Below are 23869 nucleotides of genomic sequence, written 5' to 3'. Positions count from 1 at the left end.
GGAAGGGAGGGAGGGAGGAAGGGAAGGAGGGAGGGAGGGAGGGAGGAAGGGAGGGAGGAAGGGAGGGAGGGAGGGAGGAAGGGAGGGAGGAAGGAAGGGAGGAAGGAAGGGAGGAAGGAAGGAAGGGAGGGAGTGCTCAAGGGGAAAAGAACTGAGATATATGAGAAAGACTAACAATAAATAACCTTCTTTTCTTTGTCTTTAATTTTAGATTCGGGGGCACGTGTGCAGGTTTGTTATGTGAGTATATTGCATGGTGCTAAGGTTTGGGTTTCTAATGATCCCGTAGCCCAAGCAGTGAACATTGCACTCAATAGACAGTTTTTCAACCTTTTCCCTCTCCCTTCCTCTCACTTTTGGAGCCCCCAGTCTTCATTGTTCCCATCTTTGTGTCCAGCTGCACCCAATGCTTAGCTCTCACTTATAAGTAGAACATGTGGCATTTGGTTTTCTAACTCTCTTCCCTCTACCATTCCCCTCAATTTTAATATAGTGGAACTGAAAAAAAATTGCAAAAGAGCAACTGGCAGCCCCAAGTGTGTTGGAGGGTATTCCTGCCTTTTCTGATCTGCCTGCTCTCCTGGAGGGGTTGGGGCGGGCCGGGGGGGGGCGCTGGTTATGAATTAACTGGGCACATATAAAGCCAATGATACCAGAAAAGTTGCAATTGCAGCAAACACCTCCCACCACATACCTGCCAGGACTAACTTCAAAAGGCTGCATATTGGGAGGCCAAAGTGGGCGGATCACGAGGTCAGGAGATCGAGACCATCCTGGCTAACACAGTGAAACCCCGTCTCTACTAAAAATACAAAAAATTAGCCGGGTGTGGTGGCGGGAGCCTGTACTCCTAGCTACTCGGGAGGCTGAGGCAGGAGAATGGCTTGAACCCAGGAGGTGGAGGTTGCAGTGAGCCAAGATCGCATCACTGCACTCCAGCCTGGGCGACAGAGCAAGACTCCGTCTCAAAAAAAAAAAAAAAAAAAAAAAGGCTGCATAAATATTACCACATTATCTCTCCTCCACCAATCTCTCGCATATACTGACATTCTTAGCCCCTAACTCATTAAAAAAAAAAAAAAAAAGCCAGGCGCGGTGGCTCACACCTGTAATCCTAGCACTTTGGGAGGCTGAGGCGGGCGGATCACGAGGTCAGGAGATCGAGACCATCATCGCTAACACGGTGAAACCGTCTCTACTAAAAATACAGAAAATTAGCTGGTCGAAGTGGTGGGCACCTGTAATCCCAGCTACTCGGGAGGCTGAGGCAGGAGAATGGCGTGAACCCAGGAGGCGGAGCTTGCAGTGAGCCGAGATCACGCCACTGCACTCCAGCCTGGGCAACAGAGCAAGACTCCGTCTCAAAAAAAAATTAAAATTGAAATTAAAAAATAAAAATAAAAAATAAAAATGTCACGTGTCATTTAGCTTAAATTTTCTGTTTCCTGTGAAGTCCCGCCTCTTCTGAGTACCTGTGACCCATCCCTAAATGTGTGAGCCTGCTTCCTCCTCTACTTCATGCTACCTGCCTCGCAGAAAAAACGTAGGTGACAGAACATTGTAAACTATAAAGAGGTGTCCAAATGTCTGGTCTTACTCATTGGTTCTGCAGTGGGCTATAGGCAAAGCTTTGCAGTAATGGTACCACGTGCCTACCATCAACTGAGAGTAGATGGAGTTACTTGGCGTTCTGAAATGCTCTAAATACCCAAATAAATGAACTAACACAATCAAACCGGAGCTCTCGGCATCACAAAGTGCTCTTTGTCCTTTTATTTTATGTGAGTCATTTAGTTTTAATTTATGATCATATTTCATAACCTACCAGCAAATGGCCTGCTGTATATTTTTGAAAAGTGATGAAGTCCTAGTAACGTGAGACCTCATTCTGGCCCTGGGTTTAGAAATCTGTGTTCTGATAAGTGCCGAGAGACTGTCAGAGTTTGGGGGAGATTTTTACAATGTATGAATTAGTAATGTGTGAAATGATCAAATTTCTTTTCAATTACCTCAAAAATCAAGATAAATTTCACAAAGGTTTACTGTACCCCCAGCTCTGGGTCCTGTGACCTACATATTAAGTCCTTAAAAAAGGTGTGTTTCCCTCAACCCCTAGAGATACTAAGAGTTGAACACAGTTCAGGCTAGTATGGATGACACTTTTTATTCTGAAATTACTACTTTTAAATTTCCTATCTAATCCCTACAAGTGCTCTTTTGCTTTAAAACCCTATCACTGGGCTGGGTGTGGTGGTTCATGCCTGTAATGCCAGCACTTTGGGAGGCCGAGGCAGGCAGATCACGAGGTCAGGATCACGAGGTCGGGAGTTCGAGACCAGCCTGGCCAACATAGTGAAACCCTGTCTCTACTAAAAATACAAAAAATTATCTGGGCGTGGTGGTGGGTGCCTGTAATCCCAGCTACTCAGGAGGCTGAGGCAGGAGAATCGCTTCAACCTGGGAGGTGGAGGTTGCAGTGAGCTGAGATCGCGCCATTGCACTCCAGCCCGGGCAACAGTGCAAGACTCCGACTCAAAACAACAGCAGCGACAACAACAACAAAAACCTCCATTACTGGCCTCGAGGGGGCAGAAATGTTAACTATGCCTTAATTATGCCTTTGAACATACATCTGAGGGCTATAAGAAGAACCAGGAGTCCCATGTTACAGAAAAGAACACTGAGGCCTTAAAGACAATAAAAGAAGGTTTTCTGAGGATTCCCCTCTCTTTCCAAACTAGCTGTAAATCAGAGTCAGAACTCTCTCCCCTTGCATCCCTCTGGGAGAGTGCATTAATTAACTACTGGACCATACTGTAAAACAAACTCTAAAGAAGAGTTTTAACTCTACACAATTTTATAACTCAGAAGGGTTTCATTTAATGCCGTGTTTTAAACATTTTTCACTCGTGAAATATAAGGACAAGTTGAACTGGCTCTATACAGTCTGGCTAACCCACCAGTAGAGGCTGTGAAAGTTTCTTTAATGTTCATCTGTGACTAGTCATCAGAGACTTGAACCAAATCAAGAATATTTTTATAACTGCCTTCATAACACTACCTGGCCCATCTTGCCAAAGGCAAATGATTTTTATTGTTTTGTGAACCAAACCAACTTTTTAAAGGTTTTAACTCATGGCAAACCTGTACATTTTCCAAAGCTTTAAAAAGTCAGCCAAACCCAGAGCCCTCTAGTTTTCCCAGAACTGTTATATGACTTGGTAAAACATTCACCTTCATTCATTGAATGGGCCCTGTGCTCACTGAGCACCTACTATGGGCCATGCAGTGCTCTGAGCACTAGGGATACAGTTCAGAATGAAACAGAAAAATACATTGACCTAATGGGCTTCCTATCTCTTTCCTGGCTGCTAATCCCTGCCCTGGTTTACAGATGCTAAAGTGAGGTGTAGAGAGCCATCAGTGGCTAGCTTGAACTTGAACTCAGTAACTCAGATATATCATTTGGTGCTCTTTGGTGTAAGCACCAAAATAAAAGGAGGAGTATAGCCAGAGCAATCTATTAGGAAGAAAGTATGACGGGGTTGGAGATTTGTCTTGTTGCCTAGCAAGCATACTATTTTGATCTTGATGGCATGTTAAAAGATTAATAAAAATAGCAATGTTTTCTAAAAATACTTTTACTCTGAGCTTGAGAAAATATTATGTATTTGATAAAATCAAATAATATACATATGGCCAGGCGCGGTGGCTCACGCCTGTAATCCCAACACTTTGGGAGGCCGAGGCGGGCAGATCACGAGGTCAGGAGTACGAGACCAGCCTGGCAAACATGGAGAAACCCCGTCTCTACTAAAGATACAAAAAACTAGCCAGGCGTGGTGGCGTGCACCTATAATCCCAGCCATTCGGGAGGTGGGAGGCTGAGGCAGGAGAATCTCTTGACCCAGGAGCAGGAGGTTGCAGTGAGCCGAGATTGCGCCATTGCACTCCAGCCTGGGTGTCAGGTCGAGACTCCGTCTCAGAAAAAAAAAAAAAAAAATATATATATATATAGTGTATATTATCCGTATAATGTGGACGTGGCTGTAGGGGATGGATAGATATTTTTGAAAACCAAAACCCACTTCCCATCCTGCTGTTCCTGATCCTGCTGCTTCTCTTAGTGAGCTACTTAACATTTAAGGTACAGAAGAACTGGATTTCAGGTTGCTCAGAAATCAAATCTCCAGAGCCATTTGAGCTAGTTCTATCTAGCTCAGCTGAACTGAACTAGAAATATGGCTCTCTCTCTCTCTCTTTTTTTTTTTCTTTTGAAATATTGTTCTTTCACACAACTGCTAAGTGACTTTGGGCAAGTCACTTTCACTCTGAACCTCTTGCATGATATGATAATAAAATTCCCTTCTGCCCTAAGATTCTATAGTGTTGCCCTTCAATATTATTCTGCCTCTGATTCGATATTAGCCTGAAATGTCATTTTGCCTCTGATGACAACTTCTTCTTTTTTTTTTTTTCTCTTGAGATGGAGTCTCACTCTGTTACCCAGGCTGGAATGCAATGGTGCGATCTTGGCTCACTGCAACCTCTGCTGCCAGGGTTTAATTAATTCTCCTGCCTCAGCCTCCCGAGTAGCTGGGATTACAGGCGCCTACCACTGTGCCTGGCTAATTTTCGTATTTTTTTTTTTTTTAGTAGAGATGGGGTTTCACCATCTTCGTCAGGCTGGTTCACACTCCTGACCTCAGGTGATCCACCCGCCTCGGCCTCCCAAAGTGCTGGGATTATAGGCATGAGCCACCGTGCCCGGCCTACTACTTCTTATTTAAATCAATTCAGAAACCCAAGGGACTCAAAGACCATTTCTTTCATCCTGGCTTCTGCTCCTATAGGAGACACAAACCCCAAACAGTGAATGCCCTGCAGCAGCAGTTTTGAGAGCGAGTTCCTTCAGAGTCAATAGCTCAAATCTCAGCTTTGTCGTTCACCAGTGGCAAGACCATGAGCAAGCTACATAATCTCTCAAGGTCTCAGTTTCCTTGATTATAAAATGAGGATGATGTGTGACTGTGCTACTATGTGTATTAAAATGAAATTATGGAGTCCTTATGTAAAGGACTTGTTGGCACACAGAAAGTGCTCATTTAATTCAATTATTATCTAATGAGATGCACAGTACATCTCTTCTTTTTCTTCTTAGTTATAGTGAATTTTAATAATTCTGTGTTGAGAATTTCAGGAAAGTCCTGGGGCAACACAGGTTCAATACTCAGGATAACTGGTATGTGCTGAAATTCAGCAATAATAATTATTAACTTACTGCTGATTAAAGGAGAAAGAAGGTTGAGTTTGTATGTTGTTAATATTGTCATTTTGGACCCCAAAGTGTCATTTCACATTCATCTTATTAATCTTATTCTTAAAAAATAGCCTGTGGGTCCTCGTTCTAGTCCCAGACTTAGATAGGGATTGCATGTGGAGAAAAATGTGGGCATCAGTGCCCTGAAAAACTATGTCAGCAGCCCCAGGCTCTGGAAATCTTTCCTTCTGAGGCCTAATTTCCTTGGCATTTTCCTGCTCTTTGTAAGGGGGAAAAACAGTTTTACCTTCTCATGAAAGTGGGCTGTGGCTTAGTGGTGTCTATGCAAGACACGGATGCCCCTAACCTGGTAATAATTTAGATCTGCACGCTCAGTCCCAAAGGCGGTGGCTACTAGATCTGCACGCTCAGTCCCAAAGGCGGTGGCTACTAGATCTGCACGGTCAGTCCCAAAGGCAGTGGCTACTAGATCTGCACGGTCAGTCCCAAAGGCGGTGGCTACATCGCACTACCCTGTGCCAGCACCTCTTGAGGGCACAGAGGCTGAAGCATGTTGCCCCGCCCCCACCCCACATCCATTCTCGATGACTTCACTGCCCAGTTGCTTTCCTGGAATTCTCAGTCGAGATCATATTCCCCACACCCACCCCTGGGATTTTCTACGTTGTCTTTTTGGCTCCTCTCTGTTCCCATTGCTAAACAAAGAGAAATCCAACCGGAAAGACTAGACGGGGCGAGCCGCTGAGGCGGTGGGAAGGAGGAGGAGATGAACACTTGCAGCCTTCAGACTTTCCCCAAATTGGGCAATTTCACATCAATAACTGCCTTATCCATCACCACTACCTTTCAGCTAATTTTCTGTGATGGGATTTCGAGAGGCACTTTAGCGTCTTATACACAATTTCTTTGCAAAGTCAGTTTTTCCATCATCAAGCATTCTCAGCACTGAAATAAAAATAGGCAGAGCTTTGCCACTAAAATAGTGCTTTTTATATCAGACCCTGCAACCCAGAAACCCTTTTCAGGGAAATGTACACTTTGGTGGTTACACACACACACACACACACACACACACACTCTTCCAGTCTATCAAAGACTTAACCTCATCCAGGTGAAAAGACGCTGCACAGCTATCTGTCAAGCTTGGCTCTGTTTCCTTGCTGTGTGACTTTAGGCAAGTCACCTCACCTCTCAGAGCACCCTTTTTATTTTATTTAAGATGGGAATGTAATTCCCCACCTATTGCTTTGAGGGCCACATGAGATCCTGAATATGAGAGTATTTGGACACTGGCATATATTTTATACAAAAATACAGGGGATTAAGAAAGGGTATGAAATAAAGGAAGTCACAGGCTGACTTCAGATGACACTCACCCCCTTCATCTTTGTTTAGAAGTGTAATTATTGCCTCCCCATGAATGGTAAACCACATAAAATGTAGACATGATGTGCTCTCTTGTAAAGCATAGACTCTCAGCAGAAGCAGGATGGCGTAATGCAAATAGCTGGGGCTGGGGCTGACATGGATTTCTGGGCTCTGAGCTCACCCACTGTGTGATTCCTGCCTTGCTGTGTCACCTCCTTAGGCAGTTTGCTGCTCTGGGAAAATGGGAGAAACCATAGTTCTTGAATTTCAGGGTTGATTGGAAGGTATAGAGTGAAAACGGAGTGCAGAATGCTGGGGGAGGGGGAGTGGAGGGCAGCCCGGGGTGGTGGAAGTGTTCAGGCTGGAGAGAGGCCTGGGCCTCAGTTGGAGGGTGAACTCCCCCTAGCTCACTTCCGGAAAATGGGGCTAAGAGTGCCTACTTCACAAAGTTGGTGAGAGGAACTAATAAAATGCTGCCTGAATACTGATTAAAGAGGCACCTGGCTTTAGGTGCTGGTCAGCACACCTTAGTGCCCGGGACCCCAGGTCAATATCTGGCCTCTGGGAGGCACTATTGCCTCGTGCTTTTGTCCATGGGCTGTGGAATCACGGGGTTGCAAAGTCCCATCCCAGTTGGGGCACTGCCTATCTACCCCACCTCGGACGCATTAATGAATGATCTGAGCCTGGTTCCCTTGGCTCCAAAGGAGATGGTAATACCATCTCCCGGACGGTGGTGAAATCCACGAGCACTCACTAGCACCCGTGAGTTGATTGGTGTAAATCGCCGAGCAACAGTGTCTGGCACTTGGGAAGCGCTCAGTTACAGGGGGCTGTTATTATCTGCTCGGCTTGCTTCTTTGGGCGTCGAGGTGTAAGTTTAATGATGGGGGACAAGGGGCAGGGAGGAGGGCGCCTGGTCGGCTGCGATCTTCCGTGCCGGTGGAGCGGGCCGGGCCGGTGTCAGTGCGTATTTATTGATGGCAGGTATTTGGGGAGTAATTGAGCGCGGCGGCCGGCCCGGGGCGAGAGTGGGCCTCCACGAGCAATTAAATGTGATTAGGCAGAGACCTTCGGGATCCAGCTGGGTGATTGATAACCCGGCCGCATTCCTGCCGGGCCCGCGACATCAAACGGGCGGCCGGCAGCGGGCGGGGCGGAAGGGGCCGAGCGCCTGGACGCTTCCCTTCTCGCCTGCGACGCCCACGGTTCTATGGGGAAACCGGGTGACGCGCCCCCTTCCTGCGCAAGGGTCACTCCCTTGCTGGCTTGCCAGGTGCAGCTAAGGAGGGAAGGGCGCCGGAAGGGTCGAGGTGACTAGGAGCCCCCTGCGCTGGGCGCACCGCTCCTGGCGCACTGGGCTGGGCTCCCAGAATCCGCCACGAAATCGCTGGAACAGGGGAAGAGAGAATGGAAAAGAGAAGAGAAGGGGGGAAATAGGAGACGGTGGGAATGAGAATCAATTAGAAAACAAAAAAAATTGAGAGATGCCATGGAGGAGCAAAGTGACAGGCAAAGAAGGCGGTGGGGGAAGAGAGGGAAAAGAGAATTAAAAATGATAACTTGAAAAGAAGTTACCGACAATAAGAAGATAGAGGTAAAAATTAGAAAGGTACAGAGTGCGACAGACAGGAGAAAGAATGAAAGGTGGAGGAAAGGTAATAAAAGCGGGACAGCAAAAAAGAAAAAAGGAAGAGAAAGAGGTGAAAAGGAGGGAGCGCAAAAGATGAGAAAGGAAAATGAGAGACAAAAGAATGAGGAAAATTGAGCCGAAAAGTCAGAGGAAGAAAAGACAGGAAGGAAGCTAGCCTGGGTCCTCCCCTAGCCTTCCCCCACCCCATCCCTGTCCCTGACTCAATTTCAGCAAATTCTGTGCCCAGAGCCAAGCGCTGCCTGGTGCCTGGGAGACCTGGCATTTGCCCCCAAGAGCCTGACTCCTTCCCAGCCCAAGCCATCAAGCCAGCTCCTTCCCCCTCCAGGCAGGAGGAGGGGAACCCCCACATCCAAGTCTGGGGTGAGCCTTGGGCTCTCTGTACCCCAAGCCTAGGCCGCTAGACATAATTCACAAGTGGAGGTGCTGGGGGTTCCCGGGGCTGTTGCCTCGGGATCCTGGAGTCTTCGGAGCCAGGGAACAGTTTCTGTCTGTGCTGACTCCACAGACAGGATCAAAACAGCATGAAAGAAATCAGAGGGAGAACTTCGTCGGCAGGAGCTGGACTTCTAAAACCCCCTTCCGCCCCCATAGGCTTCAATATTAAAAAACCCCCTAGGAGTCTCAGACACTGTATTAATTAGTGCAACCACCCATGAAAAGTTGGGTTTGGAGCGGCATTCTTTGCCCTGTGTGAAAAACCAAGTCTAATAAACAATTGTTAAGTTGGCCTGTTGCCGCTGGTAAATTACATAGCATTAAAAAAATAATGCTTTTCATATTAGGCACTAATTAAAGGTTGGGACAGCATTAAAACAAGATAGGGAGGGGGGAAATCAAAGAAAATATAAAAATGTTCTTTCAAGAGTTATGGGAGGTTAATAAAGTATGTCTGTTAGAGTGAGCCTACTTTGCCCCCAGCTACAGCCAAACTGGAGCCACCACAATTGGGTCTCAATAAGATAATGATATTCCTTTCTCTGCTATTAAAAGCCTCCCAGTGCAAACTTAAAATGATTTATTTAATTTAGGAAATTATGAGGTGTAACTTCAAAGCCTCAGCCGTTAGTAATGGAAAATACCAGGTTGTTTAAAATTATAATAATAATTGTTTGGAGGACTCAGGACATCAAAGTGTTTTCATCAACAAATGCAGAGAGGTCCGGAGGAGGTTGGAAAGAGTCAAGGGAGGTGGATGGAGTTTGGATTTGATTATTATGAACCTTATCAGGGCAAGACTCAGGATTCCTGCAGCCGGGTCCTCTGTTCTGCTTTGAAGCGGGCTATTCTGGAAAGTAATTTTACTGCTTTTTATTTAGTTTGTAGGAGGGAGGAGGTGAGAGGGTGGCTGGGGGTGGGAGAGCGGGTAAAGGGGTCCGGGAGTTGACCGAGGGCTTTTCCTTGTTGCTGTGACCACTTTATTTTGTTAAAGAAGCCTGCAGCATCACCAATGCGGGGTGGAAAACATTTTTGCTTACAAAAATGGAAGGAGAGAGAGGAACAGACACAGTCAACTTCACCAACCAGGCCCTGTGATTTCGGGGAGGGTGTGTGTGACGTGGGTTCTTTTATAAATGAGGTTTATGCTTATTTCAAACCCAACAGTGGAGACGGAGTGGGGGTGGGGGAATGGCCTCTCCAACCCGTGGCAAATGAGCGGCTTTTATAGCAAAGAATGGCCGTGGGAGTTTTCATTCGGTCAGACAAGGTTCTGCTCAAAGGCAGGGATCCTCTTTTCAGTCGGGTCAGGCAGACGTTTCGCCAGCCACCGCTCTCAGCCAGGCCTTCACTGCCTACCTCCTGCCGCCCTGCTCCCTCCATTCCCCGCAAGATCGCCCAGGCAGGGCTGGAAGGGGGAGAGGGGAGGGCTGGATCTGAGCCCCAGGTCCACTGTGTTAGAGGAGCAATGAGGGATAGGAAGGGGAGCTGGAGAGAGACTGCAGATCTGGGATCTCAGGGTCTGGGGATCCAGAGTGTTCCCCAGGCCCTGGCATCATTTCTGAGACACCTCCTGCCTGATTTGCCCTCACCATCTTTCATACCCACCTCCTCCGCTCACACTGAGGCCTGGATTTCCCTGCCCCTACTTATCAGCTCTGTGACCTTAGTGAGCCACCTCTTTGTGCCTCAGTTTCCTCAACTATACATGACATCTATGATACCTCTCCAAGGAGTGTGTGGCAACTAAATGAGAACACCGGCGGGGGGCGGGGGGGGGGGAAGCCTAGTTCTGCACTCTGCAGGGGCTCCATAAATGCGATTTCCCTGCTCTCTTCCTCTCTTTCCAAAAAGCAGAGCTGTGTCTCTTGAAAAGTTTCGAACAAAGCACTGAAAGTATGGAAGGGTGGGTAAATTTGCGTGCCAGGCTTCTGGCATCGGACGCAAGGATATCTAAAGCCCGCACGCTAACATCTTGCAATGCGCGCCTTCGCGGGTCCCTGGTGAGGGAGAGTCCTTTTGCCGCCACAGGTTGTCAATCTGGCCTCTGAAACGCCCTGTGTGCCCGACCAAGCCTGACCGAGGCCCGGACCGCGGTGACTCGGAACCCATCCCCAGACTGCAGGCTTGAAGGGAGGCCCAGAGCAAGGGGGCGGCCCGGCTTCGCGGACCTCCGGCTTGGTTCTCAGCTCGGTAACCCCATCCACCTATGAGGCTGGGATGCGTATGTTCGAGCCTGAACAACTCTTTTTCCCCTCTCCGAGCCTCAGGTTTTGTTTCGGCGTCTGGAGCGATGGGGATGGTGCGCAGTTCCCCAGACGGATTCCAGTCTAACCCGCCAGCCACGCAAGATGCAGCCCTTTTCTCCGGATCGCACTCTGGATCGCGACCCCGTCCTCCTGGGGACGAGCAGAGTCTTAACCCGGAGCCGGCGTCTCCGGATTCCCCACCCGGGCTGAGATCGCCCGGGGCTGCGGGGTCCAAGCGGCGCCGGGAAGGAAGCTCGGTGGACAGGCTAATTAGGGACCCAACCTGGCGGCTGATGACGAAACCGGGAAAGGCTTTGGCCTTTGGAAAACGCAATCCTTAAATGAATATGGCTGGATTCCGGGCTGAGATTAGGAGTTCGAGCCGGAGAAGTCCAGCGGGACTGCAGAGACGCGCTTTCAGGTAGGTTTGGGTCGTTCCAGCGGCTCAGCTCCGGCGGAGCGACTGAGCAAGACAAAATCAGCCTCCGACTTCGAGCCGACCCCTCGGTTTGGATCACTTCTGTGCTGGAGCTTGTGAAACCTCTGAACCACGTTGCCCGACCCCGGCCCCATAAGAAAAACGGAGTTTCCGGCGCCCACTTTCAAAGTGCGTGCGGGCACAATGGAAACGCGGGACGAAGCGCCAGTCCTGGTAGGTGCCAGGTGCCAATCTGCCCGCCGCGCTGTTTACGCAGCAAGAAGTCCTCGCATCCTTTCTGCCTCTGTTCCGAGTCACCGGAGCCTCCCATCTGAACACTGACCTCGGAAAGGTATCAATCATCAGGAACCACTTCAGATTTATTTGGGCAACAGAAAGCTGAGTTTAAGATCCTTCTCAGCGTCCTCCACCTGTCACCATTTTATCGTGACGCCTCAAAACCCAAGCCTGACAGCAGTTCTGTATTGTTTCCACTGGGAGAGGGAGGCTGGGTAGCAAAGGGACTTGAACGAACCACCTTCCCACTTCAAACCGAAGAGTGTTTGCTCGGAGTCCATCTCCTTGGAAGGAGATAGGAATGGTAAACGGAATGCGATTTCACACACTCCTGAAAGGGGAGCCGGCTTCCATCCCCCAGCCCAGCGAATGCGCCTCGTTACCATGTCCACTTGCAAACAGCTATAAGGACCCTTTTCCTCAGTTTTAAGTTTGATGTGTTGGTAGCTGGGAGATTTCAAGTTCAAGATTTTCCCTTGATCATGTACAAATGATTTAGATGCTGGCCGATCTCCGCCTCACCACTTATTTAAAGCTTATCTTTCACTGTACTTTTTCTGAAAAACTCCTCGCAGCAATTCCACCTCTTTTCCATAAGTAACAAGCTGCCAGAGGAAACATTTCAAAGTATTTCAGTAGTTTCAGTTCACTCCCCACCACCACCAATCACCCCAACATGGCTGAATCTGGCCACAACTCTTGGTTGACTTACATTAAAATATTAAAAAAGACCAGCTTCCCCCTCATGTGGGTAGCACTTTCGAGCTAAGCCCAGCTAAGAACAGAGAACACCTCTTAAAATAATTGTGAGTTTGGACAAACTTTACTGCAATAAAACAAATGCTTAATTTAATTCAGAATAAGAGATAACTCTTCAATAAAATATATCAAATTGTACAAGCACCCTTTCAAAGGGATAAAGGTATACCGGAGGGAGGGGACAGATGGACAGGAAGGTGAAATACCAGGGAACTTAATGGGCTGTTTGACAATCCCATTTTCACCAAGTCAAAACATGGCTTTACCTTCTGCCCCCCAACATGTAAAAAAGTATATAAAATTTTCTAATAAGTTTAGGACATACAACAGGTACACACACAGAGAAAGCATATTTTTTTTTCTTTCTGGATCTACTAATTGTTCAAGAATATTTAGCATATAGGTAATGGTTACAAGATACTCATTTTTTAAGCAGAAAATTACTAAACCCCCACCCAAATCACCTTTGCAATCTGTGAGGATGAATGTACCTAGTATTTCTCAGAAACCATCAATTCCTCTCAACAGGTTTTAACATTTTACTCTCCAATTATCTGAAATAAAGTTACCAACAGCCTTGAGAAGAATTAGGAAGTATTTCTAATTTTCTACCTCACCTCCAGGCAGTCTCAGGATTCTTCTCATCCCAGGTATTGGTCTTACAAAAATATTCTTAAAAAAGGAAAAACTTTAAAAATATGTGTGTGGTGGGGCGGTGGGGGGCGGGGGAGAGATAGGAACAACTGTAGTATATAAAGAGGTTTCTTTTAATGCAAGTAAAATGCAGAAATATGATGTGTCCCCTTCACTTTGAATAATCTCTCCATATCTAATATTTTCTGTGTGCATTGTGTCTGTTTCTTTGTTTTCCATAAGCAGAAGTCAATAATCCCGTAAAAATCATTGACTTTAGCACATTTTGCAAATAATTTGTCTCCCTCTTTAAGAAAATACAACAAATGGACTTACACAGTGTCTTTTGGGAAGGTGAGATATAGAAAAAAAGCACATATGTATATAAATTTTGCCTTTTAAAATAATTTGAATTTTTACGTCTGCTGTATAAAAATGTATTATATTTTATTATATATATATATTTATACATAAAAACCATCAGAGCCAATCTTTGTGAAAGGAAAAGGGGGCATCTGGAAGATTACACCAAGAAAACAGGGCTTGGTGCCTCCGCCTACAGAACAAATTTCAGCTATGTCGTGTGGCCCTGTCAGCCTAGCCGCTTAGGGTGGTGCACGCAGGGTTAGCAGAGCAGGAGTACTGGCTGGTACTGCCTTCGTGGAGAGGGAGAGGAAACCCTTTGAAACAAGCATCCATCATGGAGTCTATTGATCTGGTCTTCCTTAGGACAGGTGGTACATGCCATATCCCACTGGCGTGGCATAGAGTCCCACAGGCGGGATGGGAAGCACAGGTCTATGGAACGGGTAGGATGCTCCATATATGGACGCTGCCTGCAGGGGCGAGCTGATGGGGAAAGGGAGACTGAAGCTGGAGGGCAGCATAGGTTTTGCAGCCATTTTCAGCTTTTCCAGTTCTGCCTCCTGCAGTCTTTTCGCCTTGGCCCTTCGGTTCTGGAACCAGATTTTGACCTGGGTCTCTGTGAGGTTCAGAGAGCTGGAGAACTCTGCACGCTCTGCAATGGAGAGGTACTGTTTCTGACGGAACTTGCGCTCCAGGGCGAGGAGCTGGGATGTGGTAAAGGGCGTGCGCGGCTTCCGATTGGTCTTGTGTTTCCTCAGGGTGCAGGTGGTAGGGCTCATATGTCCTAGAGAACAGAGAGAGGAGCGGATTAGCAAAAGAAAGTTACATTAAAATAATACTAAAAAAAACCCATCTCCCCCGTCATCTCTCTAGGTTTTTTCCTTTCGGGCCTCCCCTCTCAACTGAAAGCACTTAGCTTTAAAAAAATCTATATATACATACATATACACACACACACACACACACACACACACATATCTATGTATGGAAAGACATACTTTGTTTCATCTTTGAAAAAGGTACCTTTGTCAAAACTATGTGTGTTTCTTGGGGGGAGGGGGACCATATATAAATGGGTAAGTTGCTTCGTTTTTTAAAAATGAGTTTTTTAAGAAAAGTTTTGGAAATGTAATGGTGTAACTGAACCTTCTATATGGAAAACAAACAGCATTAGAGATAACAGAAATAGAACATTTAATGTAAGACAAGGGAATCAAGTGGTCGGTGAGAAATGAACCGCTATCTCTTCTGAGCATAATTTATCTTCTCTTTAAAAATGGGAGACCAGGTTCATGATTAGCCCAGCCTCCCTTGGACATGGAGACAATCACATATGGGAAGGAAAATGAAAAAGGTTTTAGCAACCGGGTTAGCTGTTTCCCTTGGTCTCCTCTCTGAACCAGAAAAAGTGGATTGCGTCAGCATATTTATGAAGGATAATCGTGCAGATAAGGTCTGTGGTAAATTAATAGCATCTTTGAATTTGGGGGCAGTCCCACGCAATAAACAGTCACAAGCTGTCATTGCATCCAGTCCACAGATTATAAAATCTGAACATCATTTTACAGATCTGGATGTGGGATAAGGTTCTTGGCTGGGCGCTTCTGTAATATAAACTTTACTAAGACGAAGGGAAAAATTAGCTAGCCCATAAATGTAAATGTCAGGGGAAATCATGCTGCCTCCAAATTGAGAGCACGTGATGACATCTTAGTCATCCCCTCTACCCATTCTATGGCTTCGGGCAAATGTGTAAATGATTTGTTTGTCAGGGGGAAAAACAAGCAAAATAAAGGTATGCCAACAGCATCCAGACTCCACATTTAAAATGGATTCAATTACAGCAAATCACGGACTGGGACATCCTTGTGATTCCATAGCATCAACTAACTTTGGGCTTGTCTTCCTCAAGGGTGGGTGGGCGGAGGAGGATAGAGCTGTGGTGATAGAATACTTAACAATTAATTTTCTGCATTTGGCTTTTACGAGCTATGCTAATTTTCCAAATGTGGCCACAGTATTAACTCTAATGTATTCATGGGAGAATGTTGCATTTCTTGTTTAGTTACTTTGGTGGCCCAAGAAAGAGTTTACACTTCATACTTGAGGGTGACACAGCACAAGTCCCAACCCAGCTTCCATTTCCAACAAGAGATGGATTTGTTCCAGTGTCGCATTATTACCCATCACTTTACTGAATCAAAAAGAGATAAGAGGCTTTGTAACCAACCAAAGAACAGAAATCTGGGAAAGGGAAGGATAAGAAACTACCATAAAAGTCTATACTTTTGCATTTGCTAATCCCTAAGTTACTAGACAGCCGGGGAGCCAGCTTCTTAATTTACAAATTAACAACACTGTCAGAGACTCTCAAGAGACCTGCAAAATTCTCGCCCTTTCTAAACTAGGCCGGGCCCTCAGGAGGACTCAGGTGTCTCAGCTCAGATACCAAGTTCCTAGCGTGTATATACTCTTGCTCCTGGCTCTACGTGGGGTTTTGAAGCACTGTGCGCCTGGGCAGGGTAATTCCAGCTGGTCCTTCGGGTTACATTTGAATTATGAAATCCAGGTGACCGGGATCGCACATGTGTATCAAAACCATGAAGCTATGAGGCTTCCTCCCAATGCAACACTCCCCATCCCTCCACCCCCACCTAATTTTAAACCAGCCAGAGGAAGGATGCGATTATATAAGGCAAAACAGCGTTTATCCTACTTCCTCCAAATAACAAAATCAGGCCCGGGCGGGTAGCTCCCTCTCGCCCCAGGCTCCGTCGCCTGGCATTCTCAGGACCCACTACTCTGACCACAGGGTTCCCGCTGCCACCTCCAGGCCCAAAGCACCAACAATTCTTCATGGTGTTTTTTTTTTGTTTTTTTGTTTTTTTTTACTTTAAGTTCCGGGATACATGTGCAGAATGTGCAGGTTATAAACTCGGTTCTCAGAATTTCTGGTTCTTTTCATGGGAAGGTCACAGCCTGGGCCCGAGGTTGCCTTACCCAGAGCAGGGAAGCTTGAGCACAGGGCAGAGATGTTTAGAGGGGTAGTAGTCATTGCCTTTCCAGACCCACAGGCCTAAAGGATGGCAGGATTCCTAACCTCTGGACACTACTCCATTTAAGGCCTGTATCATTGGCTGGGCATAGGCGTAGGCTATGTACTCAATATTTGTTAAACAAATTAAGTCTTTTAATTTTCTGAGCCTCTACCTCACTGTCGATAAAGTGGGTAAGTAACACTAATCCCTCAATGTGGTCCACAGTACTAAAATTTTAAGAGTACCCAGAGCCCTGTCTGTCTGCCACCTGGTAGGTGATCATTAAATGGTCCCCAGCTTTTTTTTTTTTTTTTTTTTGGTCAGGCCCAAACTGCCGATTCCTCTCTGAACTTTGCTGAAATGTCCTCATCTGTTAAGAGGCCGGCTGCTGCCCTACAGAGGAGATAAGATAATACGGTGAAAAGTGCTATAAAGCACTATCCAAACTTGAGTTTAAATTCTTTGAGTCCCTTAATCTCCTCGCCCTTTGAATCTTTCAGAGTTTCTAACAGGGTGGAGAGAGACTGCCAGAGGGGACAGCCACTGACGCCTGGGTATATGGCCTTGTTTTGTTAACAAAATACAGTGCGTCTAGTCTTGAGGGCTGAATGATGTAAATAGTGAAAGGATCTCTCTCAGCTTTGGAGAAAGTCCCTCCACAGCCCCCACCCTCACCTTTCCTACAGGTAGGGGATGGCGTGGTGGGAAATTAGGGGGTAGAGAAACCATAAAAGCCAAGAGATAAAAGTAAAAGAGGCTGTAAAGGATGACGTCTCCAAATTGTAAAAGGACTCAGGGACCAAAAATGGATGCTGAAGCGGAGAATTCTCTGCAGCCTCAATTCTCAAGTGGGGTGCAGGTGCGGATCTCTACCTAGTCTCTCTGGGGAGAGGACGCAAAAGTGGTCAGGGCATATCAAACAGAGGAGCAGGGCGTGGGCAACAGGTGCCCCTGGCCAATCAGTGGTTGTTGGTAACCTGGGACAAGCAAAGGCCGTCTTCTTTAAAAGCCTCAGCGTCCACGTCTGAAAAATAGGGTAGTCACAAGTCCAGTGTCTACACTTGGGGGTTCTAGTGAGGATCTCGATCTGGTGAGCTAGTGAACATCACTCTGCAAACTCTCAAGCCCTGCTGGAATGCGGTTAATTATTACTGTGAGCCAAGAAGAGCCCGTGCGCTTCTGGCCCCAGCCCGCTCCCGGCGAAGCTCAGAACCTTGCCGGGGAGGTGCTGGCTGCGGAGACCACAGAGAGACATTTCCTCCCCGCACCAGACTCTGATGCCACCATCCCTGGTGCCACCATCCCTTCGTGGGATCCGGCTTCGACACCCGCGGGACTCACGAAAGAAAATGGTTTCTCCTCAATGTCTGGCTAAGCCCAGTTAGCTCATCTTTAAAATGGGGGCACAACTCTCAGGGTTGAGTTTTGAACCTGTCTCGTTCCTGGTACATCCAAGTGCTCACTGAACATGGATCCAACTCCTTCACTCCCCAGGCAGAGACTCCGGGGAACAGTGAAACAAAAACAAGCCAAGTGGCCAGAGCGCAGGGCCGAGGGCTGTAGAAACGGACCACCGAGCGACCCCGTAAACCCAGCTGGGGTTCGCTCTTGAAAAAACAATCTGTATGTCGAGGGAGTCTCAGACACACACAGCGCGGTTATTACCCAGAGGGTGTCTTGGATGCGGACGGCGCACTGGGCGCGCCGAACGCCCCGGGCACCCAGGAGTCCAGAGGCCCTGGGCTTGCTTTCCCGGGAGTGTAGCGCACGCAGAAGGGTCTCGGTACCCTCAGCCCTGGAACACCCGCCCCCCGCTCCCTCCAGTACCCCGCGCTACCTCCTACTCCTGCCCCGGCGCGCACTCACTTGGCGGCGGCGAATATCGGCCGGGTTCCTGCATCCACGCCGCTCCATCTTCTGAATTTTCCGACTTGACCGAGGCGGTCTCGAAGGGCTTCACCAGCGGCCCGGGGCTGTGCGCTTCCCGAGCGCCGTGCCCCGACAGCAGCAGTGGCCGCAGGGTGGCCCCGGCCGAGGCGCTTTCGGCCGGCAGCGGGGACGCCTCCTTGGGCGGCTTCTTGTCGGACATGAGCGCCTCCACGCTGAAGGGCAGGCTGGAGACCTTGACGCGGCGCTCCTCCGCGGCCCCCTCGGCGCCCCCAGGCCCCGGGCCTGGTCCGGCCACCACTGCTGGGCCCTCCTCGTCGGGCGAAAACAAGTCATTGCCTTTGGACGGAGAAGCCATGACTTCTCTGCCCTACGTAGCTCCCGACGCGCGACTCCGCTGGCAACCCGGCAGCGGCGACTCAAACTTTTTTGCTGCGGAGACGGGAGGGGCGCGCTGGGAGCTGAGCCTTTCCTCCGAGGGGAAGTGGGAGACGCGCGCCGCCAATCCGCGCCGGGCCTGGCGCTGACGCCAGAGACGCTCGCCCCTGATTGGCTCTTCCCGAAGGGGCTGCCCCCCCTCCTTTTTTTTTTTTTTTTTTTTTTTCCTGTTTGAAATAAATTAGGAGTTAATTACAGGAGCAGTCAGCAGAGTTGTTATTAGGCGATCCCTGAAGGGTTATAATCACGCCGAAACTGAAAAGCCCGAGACCTAATTAAGAGCGATTATTTAAAGCGGAAGTTCGCCGAGTCCCATTTCTTCTCTCTTTTGACCCTTCTTTAAAAGGGACCCTGCGCCCATCCCACTCTCCCTCTACCGCCAGAATAAGTTCAAGATTCGCAAACAGCATTGCAGAAACATTTACGAAGCCCCTACTATGCGTCAAAATTGGCTTACTTTACAGTTCCAGAAAGTCGGTGCTGAAACTCACAGGCCAGTATCCCTGTGAAAGAAATGTATGCACTTAGAAGAGTAACTCGCCACTAGCCAGCGCTCAAAAGCGCCCACTGTTATTATTACAACTCTTTCCCCTGGAAAAGAGGGGCCGGAAGGAGCCCGAGAAGTGGTCAGGAGTGCCTCTCTCCCAAATGGTTCGGAGTGAAGAATTTAAATCAGTTGTCCCCATCTCTCTCACTAGAAAGCAAATCCAGCGCACTTTTAGAAAGTTGAAATCTCTGTACTTGTCTCCTGAACCTCCTTTCTGAGCGCGATCCGGATCCGACCTTTTTCTCAAGACAGTGCAAGTGTGCATTCATGAGTTTGTTTGAGCCTGTGTTTGTCGTGCGTGTTTGAATGCCAGTGTTTGCCTCGGAGGGTAATGGGGGTGGGGGGGAGGAGGAAAAGTCGCCAATATCTAGTGCCTCCCTCTCGTTTGCAAGTCTCAGAAATACCGGCTTCCAAGTTTGCACACCCCAGGCCTACATATCATTTTGGGAAGCACATTTTTATTCATGGCACCTGGTTTTTTATAAAAACATAGATGTCTCCACCCCACCCCAAATTATACCCTCGGTAATTCCTTTCCAAAGCCTCAGTGATGACTGTCTCAGCCTGGGGAAGGGGAGAGCGAGCTTCGAGGATTAGAGGCCTCGGATCTCTCCGCTGGTCCTCAAAATGCCTGACCTAGAAGGTTAGCTTCAAAAGACTTTTTTCAGGCTGCGGCTGTCTTTTCCTATATCTGAACGATTATCCTGCGACTGACGAGGTAAATAGGAAGTCACCCAGTTCAGGACCTCGCCTACAGCAGATGCTTGCTAAACATTCCCTAGAGCATTGGAAGGGAGAGACATTGTTTTTAATTATTTAAATGACCAAGGCTTGGAGGCTACCTCCCAGTTCAGGAGTATTAGAAACTTGACCCCTAGACCTACAGACCCTTATGTACCCTTCCCAATGTACCTCTCTGAGGCACTGTTTGCTTCACCCCAAACCTTTCCCTGAAGTGAAACTGTGCTGGCCGGAGAGAACTGGAAAAAAGTATTACCTGAATCTTAGAGGATAAAGACAGTCTGCACAGGCCAGTTAATTCAGTTTGATTAAAGATGGTCCTGAAAAAGTAAAAGAGTAAGTAAGTCCTAAACACAGTCTTCTAAAACTTCTGAGTTTCTCTCTCACTATAAAGAATATGCACATTTCTTCTTAACCAACTGGAGGCTCAAAAAAGTTAAAAAAAAAAAAACTATGAAAACTACCTGGAGATGTATGCGTTTTCCCCTTGAGTCATACCTGGTGATAGTTGATTTGATATGCATCTCAAATACAGTACAGGTAAATCCAGATTAACTTCTGTACCTTCTAGATGTACAAGGCAAGGTGCAGGCTATATATTTTGGAAGCAAATCTGAAATTCGTTTAGCCCTCAGCTGCCAAAGTGTACAAAAGGGTTCAACTTTCAGTTAGGCTAAACGCAGCCAATGTTTTATAATTATTCCTGAAAACTCCTTGTTAATATCTGTCAGCTATAAGGCACACAGGCTCATTCCTGAGAAATTCGAAACAAAAATCAATACCACTGGAACTCCTTTATTTTAATGAACTTCTCTGGGAAAGGAAAAGCCAGGTCCCCTTTACTACTCTGGAATACTGAAGTCCAGGCAGAGACAAATAAATTACAAAGCCAGGAATAGGAAAACAGAGATAAAAAAATTACCGGTGTTCAAAATCAGAGTGCCAAGCTCTGACCATGAATAGGAAAGATGCTGAGAGAGGAACCAGCCTGCTCCTGGGGTCTTTGCCAGTTCCCTCCCCAGCTCTCTGCTGAGGTGGAGACAAATCGGGAAAGGGGCTCACTTCTGCTGGGAAAGGGCTGGAACCGCAACACAACGCTAGCCCTTTATGGAAAGCCCCAAGTCTGCATTTTATCCAACTTTGGCTGCGTTTTCAGAACGTTTTATTCACCTTTTCCTGGCGGAGTGACCTTGGGCACTCTAAATTGCTTCCTCCAGCCAGCGTTTTTTTTTTTATCTCCAAAATGAGAGATAATAATCCTTACCTGAGATGACTCTGGTGGTGATTAAATTCAATAGGCTACCTAAAGTAACTAGAAGGCATAGGAGGTCCAGGTTAAAACATTATTGTATATCAAAAGCAATCACAATGTATCGAATGCTTTCTCCCTGCCAAGGATCGAAAGATAAGGTGCATCCCAGAGCTTACGGTAGGTTCTTTGTAAAATTTCCGGGGCTGAGAATTTGGCTCGGTCTGAGAAGTGTCCAGGTTTGGGGACAGTGATCTAGCGGAGAACTGGCTTTGTCACGTAGAAGGCACTCAGTAAATGTTAGTTCCCAGGGATGTATGCGTAGCTGCAATATTTGCTAGCAAAAAAGCGGGGTTCCAATAGGAACTCAGCCACCAGGAAGCATCAACTCTGAAGGATGCTTTAGTGCCTGGACCTATCCAGGATCTTATTGGTTTCTTCCAACACACCGCTGCTAGCAGATTATTTTTCCCATTTCACAGATGAATGCCTAAGGCTGGGAAGCGCTAATACTCTGCCCAAGGTCGCGCAGGTAGAAGTGGGAGACACAGGAATCCCTCCCGCGCGGCTGAGGCCTCTGAGCGTAGATCCTCAACCCTGCACCTTCCCGCGCTCCCCGGGGCGCGTTACACCCGCCAGGCCCCTTCTTGAAGCAACCGCGTACGCGCGCTGCGAGTCCCAAGGAGAAAACACTCCTTGCAAACTGTGGAGCACTGCGCGCAGAACGCAGCGTTTGTAACCCCGAGGGCCGAAGGCTAGTTTGTAACCCCAGCGGCTAGAAGGGGGCGGGGGAGGGGCAGCGAAGGGGGCTGTAGACGGGCCTGGGCTTCGGGCAGGCGCCAGGCGCGGGGAGATGAAAGGCGGGCTCCGGGGGAAGGGGCTGCGCCGGGTGACCGGCTCCAGCCGCGCCGGGCGCCCCGCCCCCGCCCTGCCCCGCCCCCGCTGCCCGGGGCAGAGGCGGCTGCCCGCGCCGGAGCCGCGTTAATTGCTCTCGGCCCCAGCACTCAGCCTGCGCGGAGCCGGGACAACCTCGCTCCAGGAGGAATGACAATTCGCCCTAATGGGACAAGCTCGCTCCCAGAGGAGTGACAATTCCTCCTAATGGGAGCTCGTTAGCGGCCTATTCTACCGAGCCCGGGTATCAGAAGCAGGCAGACCCGCGGGCGCCAACATCCGCCAGGAATTCCACAACACCGCTCACCCACCCCCCAAAACATTGGCTGTGTGACTTCGGGCAAAAGGCTACTCGTCTCTGAGCTCATTTTTCTTACTGGCTTGTTGCAGAGTGAGAATGGGGAAGGTTCGGTCCTCTGGTGTCTAGAGAGATCACTTTCCGAGTTACACAGCCCAGGAAGTCGGGTAGATAGATATTCAGGGTCACAGCTGGAGGTTTTGGGGGTACAAACGTCTTGCTTGCGAAGCTCTGCAAGCCCAAGCTTGTTCTTTCCTGTTCTCCTGTTCCCGCCCCCTAAGGTCCGGAGTCAGGACCGAGCCCGGGTTTGAGCCGGGGCTGGAGAGAAGGAGCTTTTGCCAAAAGCACGATGCAGATTACTGAAGGCCCCCTAAAGCCTGAGCTTTCTCCCCATTCCACAGATGAAGTCGTCCAGGCGCAGAGAGGGGAGAGGTTGGCCTGACTTCAGCTGTGGTAAAACCTAATTCAACACGGTGTCCCTGGAAGAAGACCATCACAAGGATGGGGGCGGGGGAGGTAGAGGTAAAAGAAGCTGCATCTCCTTGCAGGTCCCACAGCCTGGAGAGGGGATGGCGAGTTCATGGGGACATCTAGTTCTGGAGGCAGCAGGTGTGAGGGGAGGAGCTGTGGGTCGGCCTTCTGTAGTTCTATATTCAAATCCAGGCCCTACTTCTCACCGTTTTCCGCCGTCACCTTGCTGGGTCTTGGTTTCCCCTTTCAGAAAATAGGCATGCTAATGCCCATCCACAGGGTTGCTGGTGAGAACTAGGTGACAAGCCTTACAAAATACCGAGTAGCGCTGAGTGTGCTGGAAGCAGGCACTGACCCAGGAGACAGCTCTGCTTCGGATCTCCTAGAGCTAAACTGGCTTCAAGATCTAGAGCTGAACTGGCTTCAAGTAAGGTTGAACCATGTATTTCCTGTGAGACTAGATAAATCACTTCACTTTTCTGCACTGCAGATTCAGCAGCTGTAACATGAGAGAGTGCCTAGCATTTAGTAAATGTGGGATATTATTCTCATTTCTTAAGTCATTATCGATGTTACTTTTTACCTCCCTTTCCAATAGATCTTCCTGGGCATCGTGCACATTTGAAATCGAATGATCTAATATTGGATGATTCGAGGCATGGAACTCATTGAATGATTTGAGGCATGCAACTTTCTGGAGCCTCATTTTTTTTTCTTCTGTAAAATGGGAATAACTACCTACCTTTTGGGAAGGAAGCAGATTGGCAGATCTATCTAGTGAGAGGTGGAGATTAAGGGAAGAAGAAACTTTAGGTTTAGACAAACAGCAGGGAGTATCTCCTGTCT

At 48.1% G+C, this 23869-nt stretch overlaps 1 protein-coding gene across 2 annotated transcripts, besides 5 other annotated features; it reads right to left on the bottom strand.

Annotated features, from left to right (window-relative positions):
* Positions 7275 to 8205: an enhancer, noted in NCBI's record as "NANOG-H3K4me1 hESC enhancer chr5:174162201-174163131 (GRCh37/hg19 assembly coordinates)". NCBI's record gives its function as "activates a minimal SCP1, AML or CMV promoter by ChIP-STARR-seq in naive H9 embryonic stem cells {active_cell/tissue: H9 hESC(naive)}" and the evidence as "EXISTENCE:reporter gene assay evidence [ECO:0000049][PMID:30033119]".
* Positions 8572 to 10232: an enhancer, noted in NCBI's record as "VISTA enhancer hs1256". NCBI's record gives its function as "enhancer in: hindbrain (rhombencephalon)[7/9] | forebrain[9/9] | limb[7/9] | nose[3/9]" and the evidence as "EXISTENCE:transgenic organism evidence [ECO:0001131][PMID:17130149]".
* Positions 10724 to 11286: an enhancer, noted in NCBI's record as "H3K4me1 hESC enhancer chr5:174159120-174159682 (GRCh37/hg19 assembly coordinates)". NCBI's record gives its function as "activates a minimal SCP1, AML or CMV promoter by ChIP-STARR-seq in naive H9 embryonic stem cells {active_cell/tissue: H9 hESC(naive)}" and the evidence as "EXISTENCE:reporter gene assay evidence [ECO:0000049][PMID:30033119]".
* Positions 11287 to 11850: an enhancer, noted in NCBI's record as "H3K4me1 hESC enhancer chr5:174158556-174159119 (GRCh37/hg19 assembly coordinates)". NCBI's record gives its function as "activates a minimal SCP1, AML or CMV promoter by ChIP-STARR-seq in primed H9 embryonic stem cells {active_cell/tissue: H9 hESC(primed)}" and the evidence as "EXISTENCE:reporter gene assay evidence [ECO:0000049][PMID:30033119]".
* On the bottom strand, positions 12507 to 18821 carry MSX2 (msh homeobox 2). 2 transcript variants are annotated; one of them, NM_001363626.2, is made up of 2 exons: positions 18336 to 18821; positions 12507 to 14244 (listed from the first exon to the last, which is right to left on the bottom strand). In NM_001363626.2, the coding sequence occupies exon 1, from the start codon at positions 18741 to 18743 to the stop codon at positions 18339 to 18341; it is 405 nt and encodes a 134-aa protein (NP_001350555.1). In that variant the 5' UTR covers positions 18744 to 18821; the 3' UTR covers positions 12507 to 14244; positions 18336 to 18338. The 2 variants fall into 2 exon arrangements, with proteins under 2 accessions (NP_001350555.1, NP_002440.2); NM_002449.5 differs by having other exon boundaries at positions 18365 to 18821.
* Positions 22227 to 22756: an enhancer, noted in NCBI's record as "NANOG hESC enhancer chr5:174147650-174148179 (GRCh37/hg19 assembly coordinates)". NCBI's record gives its function as "activates a minimal SCP1, AML or CMV promoter by ChIP-STARR-seq in naive H9 embryonic stem cells {active_cell/tissue: H9 hESC(naive)}" and the evidence as "EXISTENCE:reporter gene assay evidence [ECO:0000049][PMID:30033119]".

Source organism: Homo sapiens, chromosome 5, assembly GCF_000001405.40.
Source record: "Homo sapiens chromosome 5, GRCh38.p14 Primary Assembly".
Lineage (NCBI taxonomy): Eukaryota > Metazoa > Chordata > Mammalia > Primates > Hominidae > Homo > Homo sapiens.
The sequence above is the reverse complement of the archived record's forward strand: the minus strand, read 5'-3'. Positions and strand labels throughout refer to the sequence as shown.

Coding starts and splice junctions, on each gene's coding strand:
- MSX2 (NM_002449.5), bottom strand. CDS start 18,743: ATGGCTTCTCCGTCCAAAGGCAATGACTTGTTTTCGCCCGACGAGGAG. Junction 14,245..18,364: donor CCGATATTCGCCGCCGCCAA/GTGAGTGCGCGC, acceptor TCTGTTCTCTAG/GACATATGAGCCCTACCACC.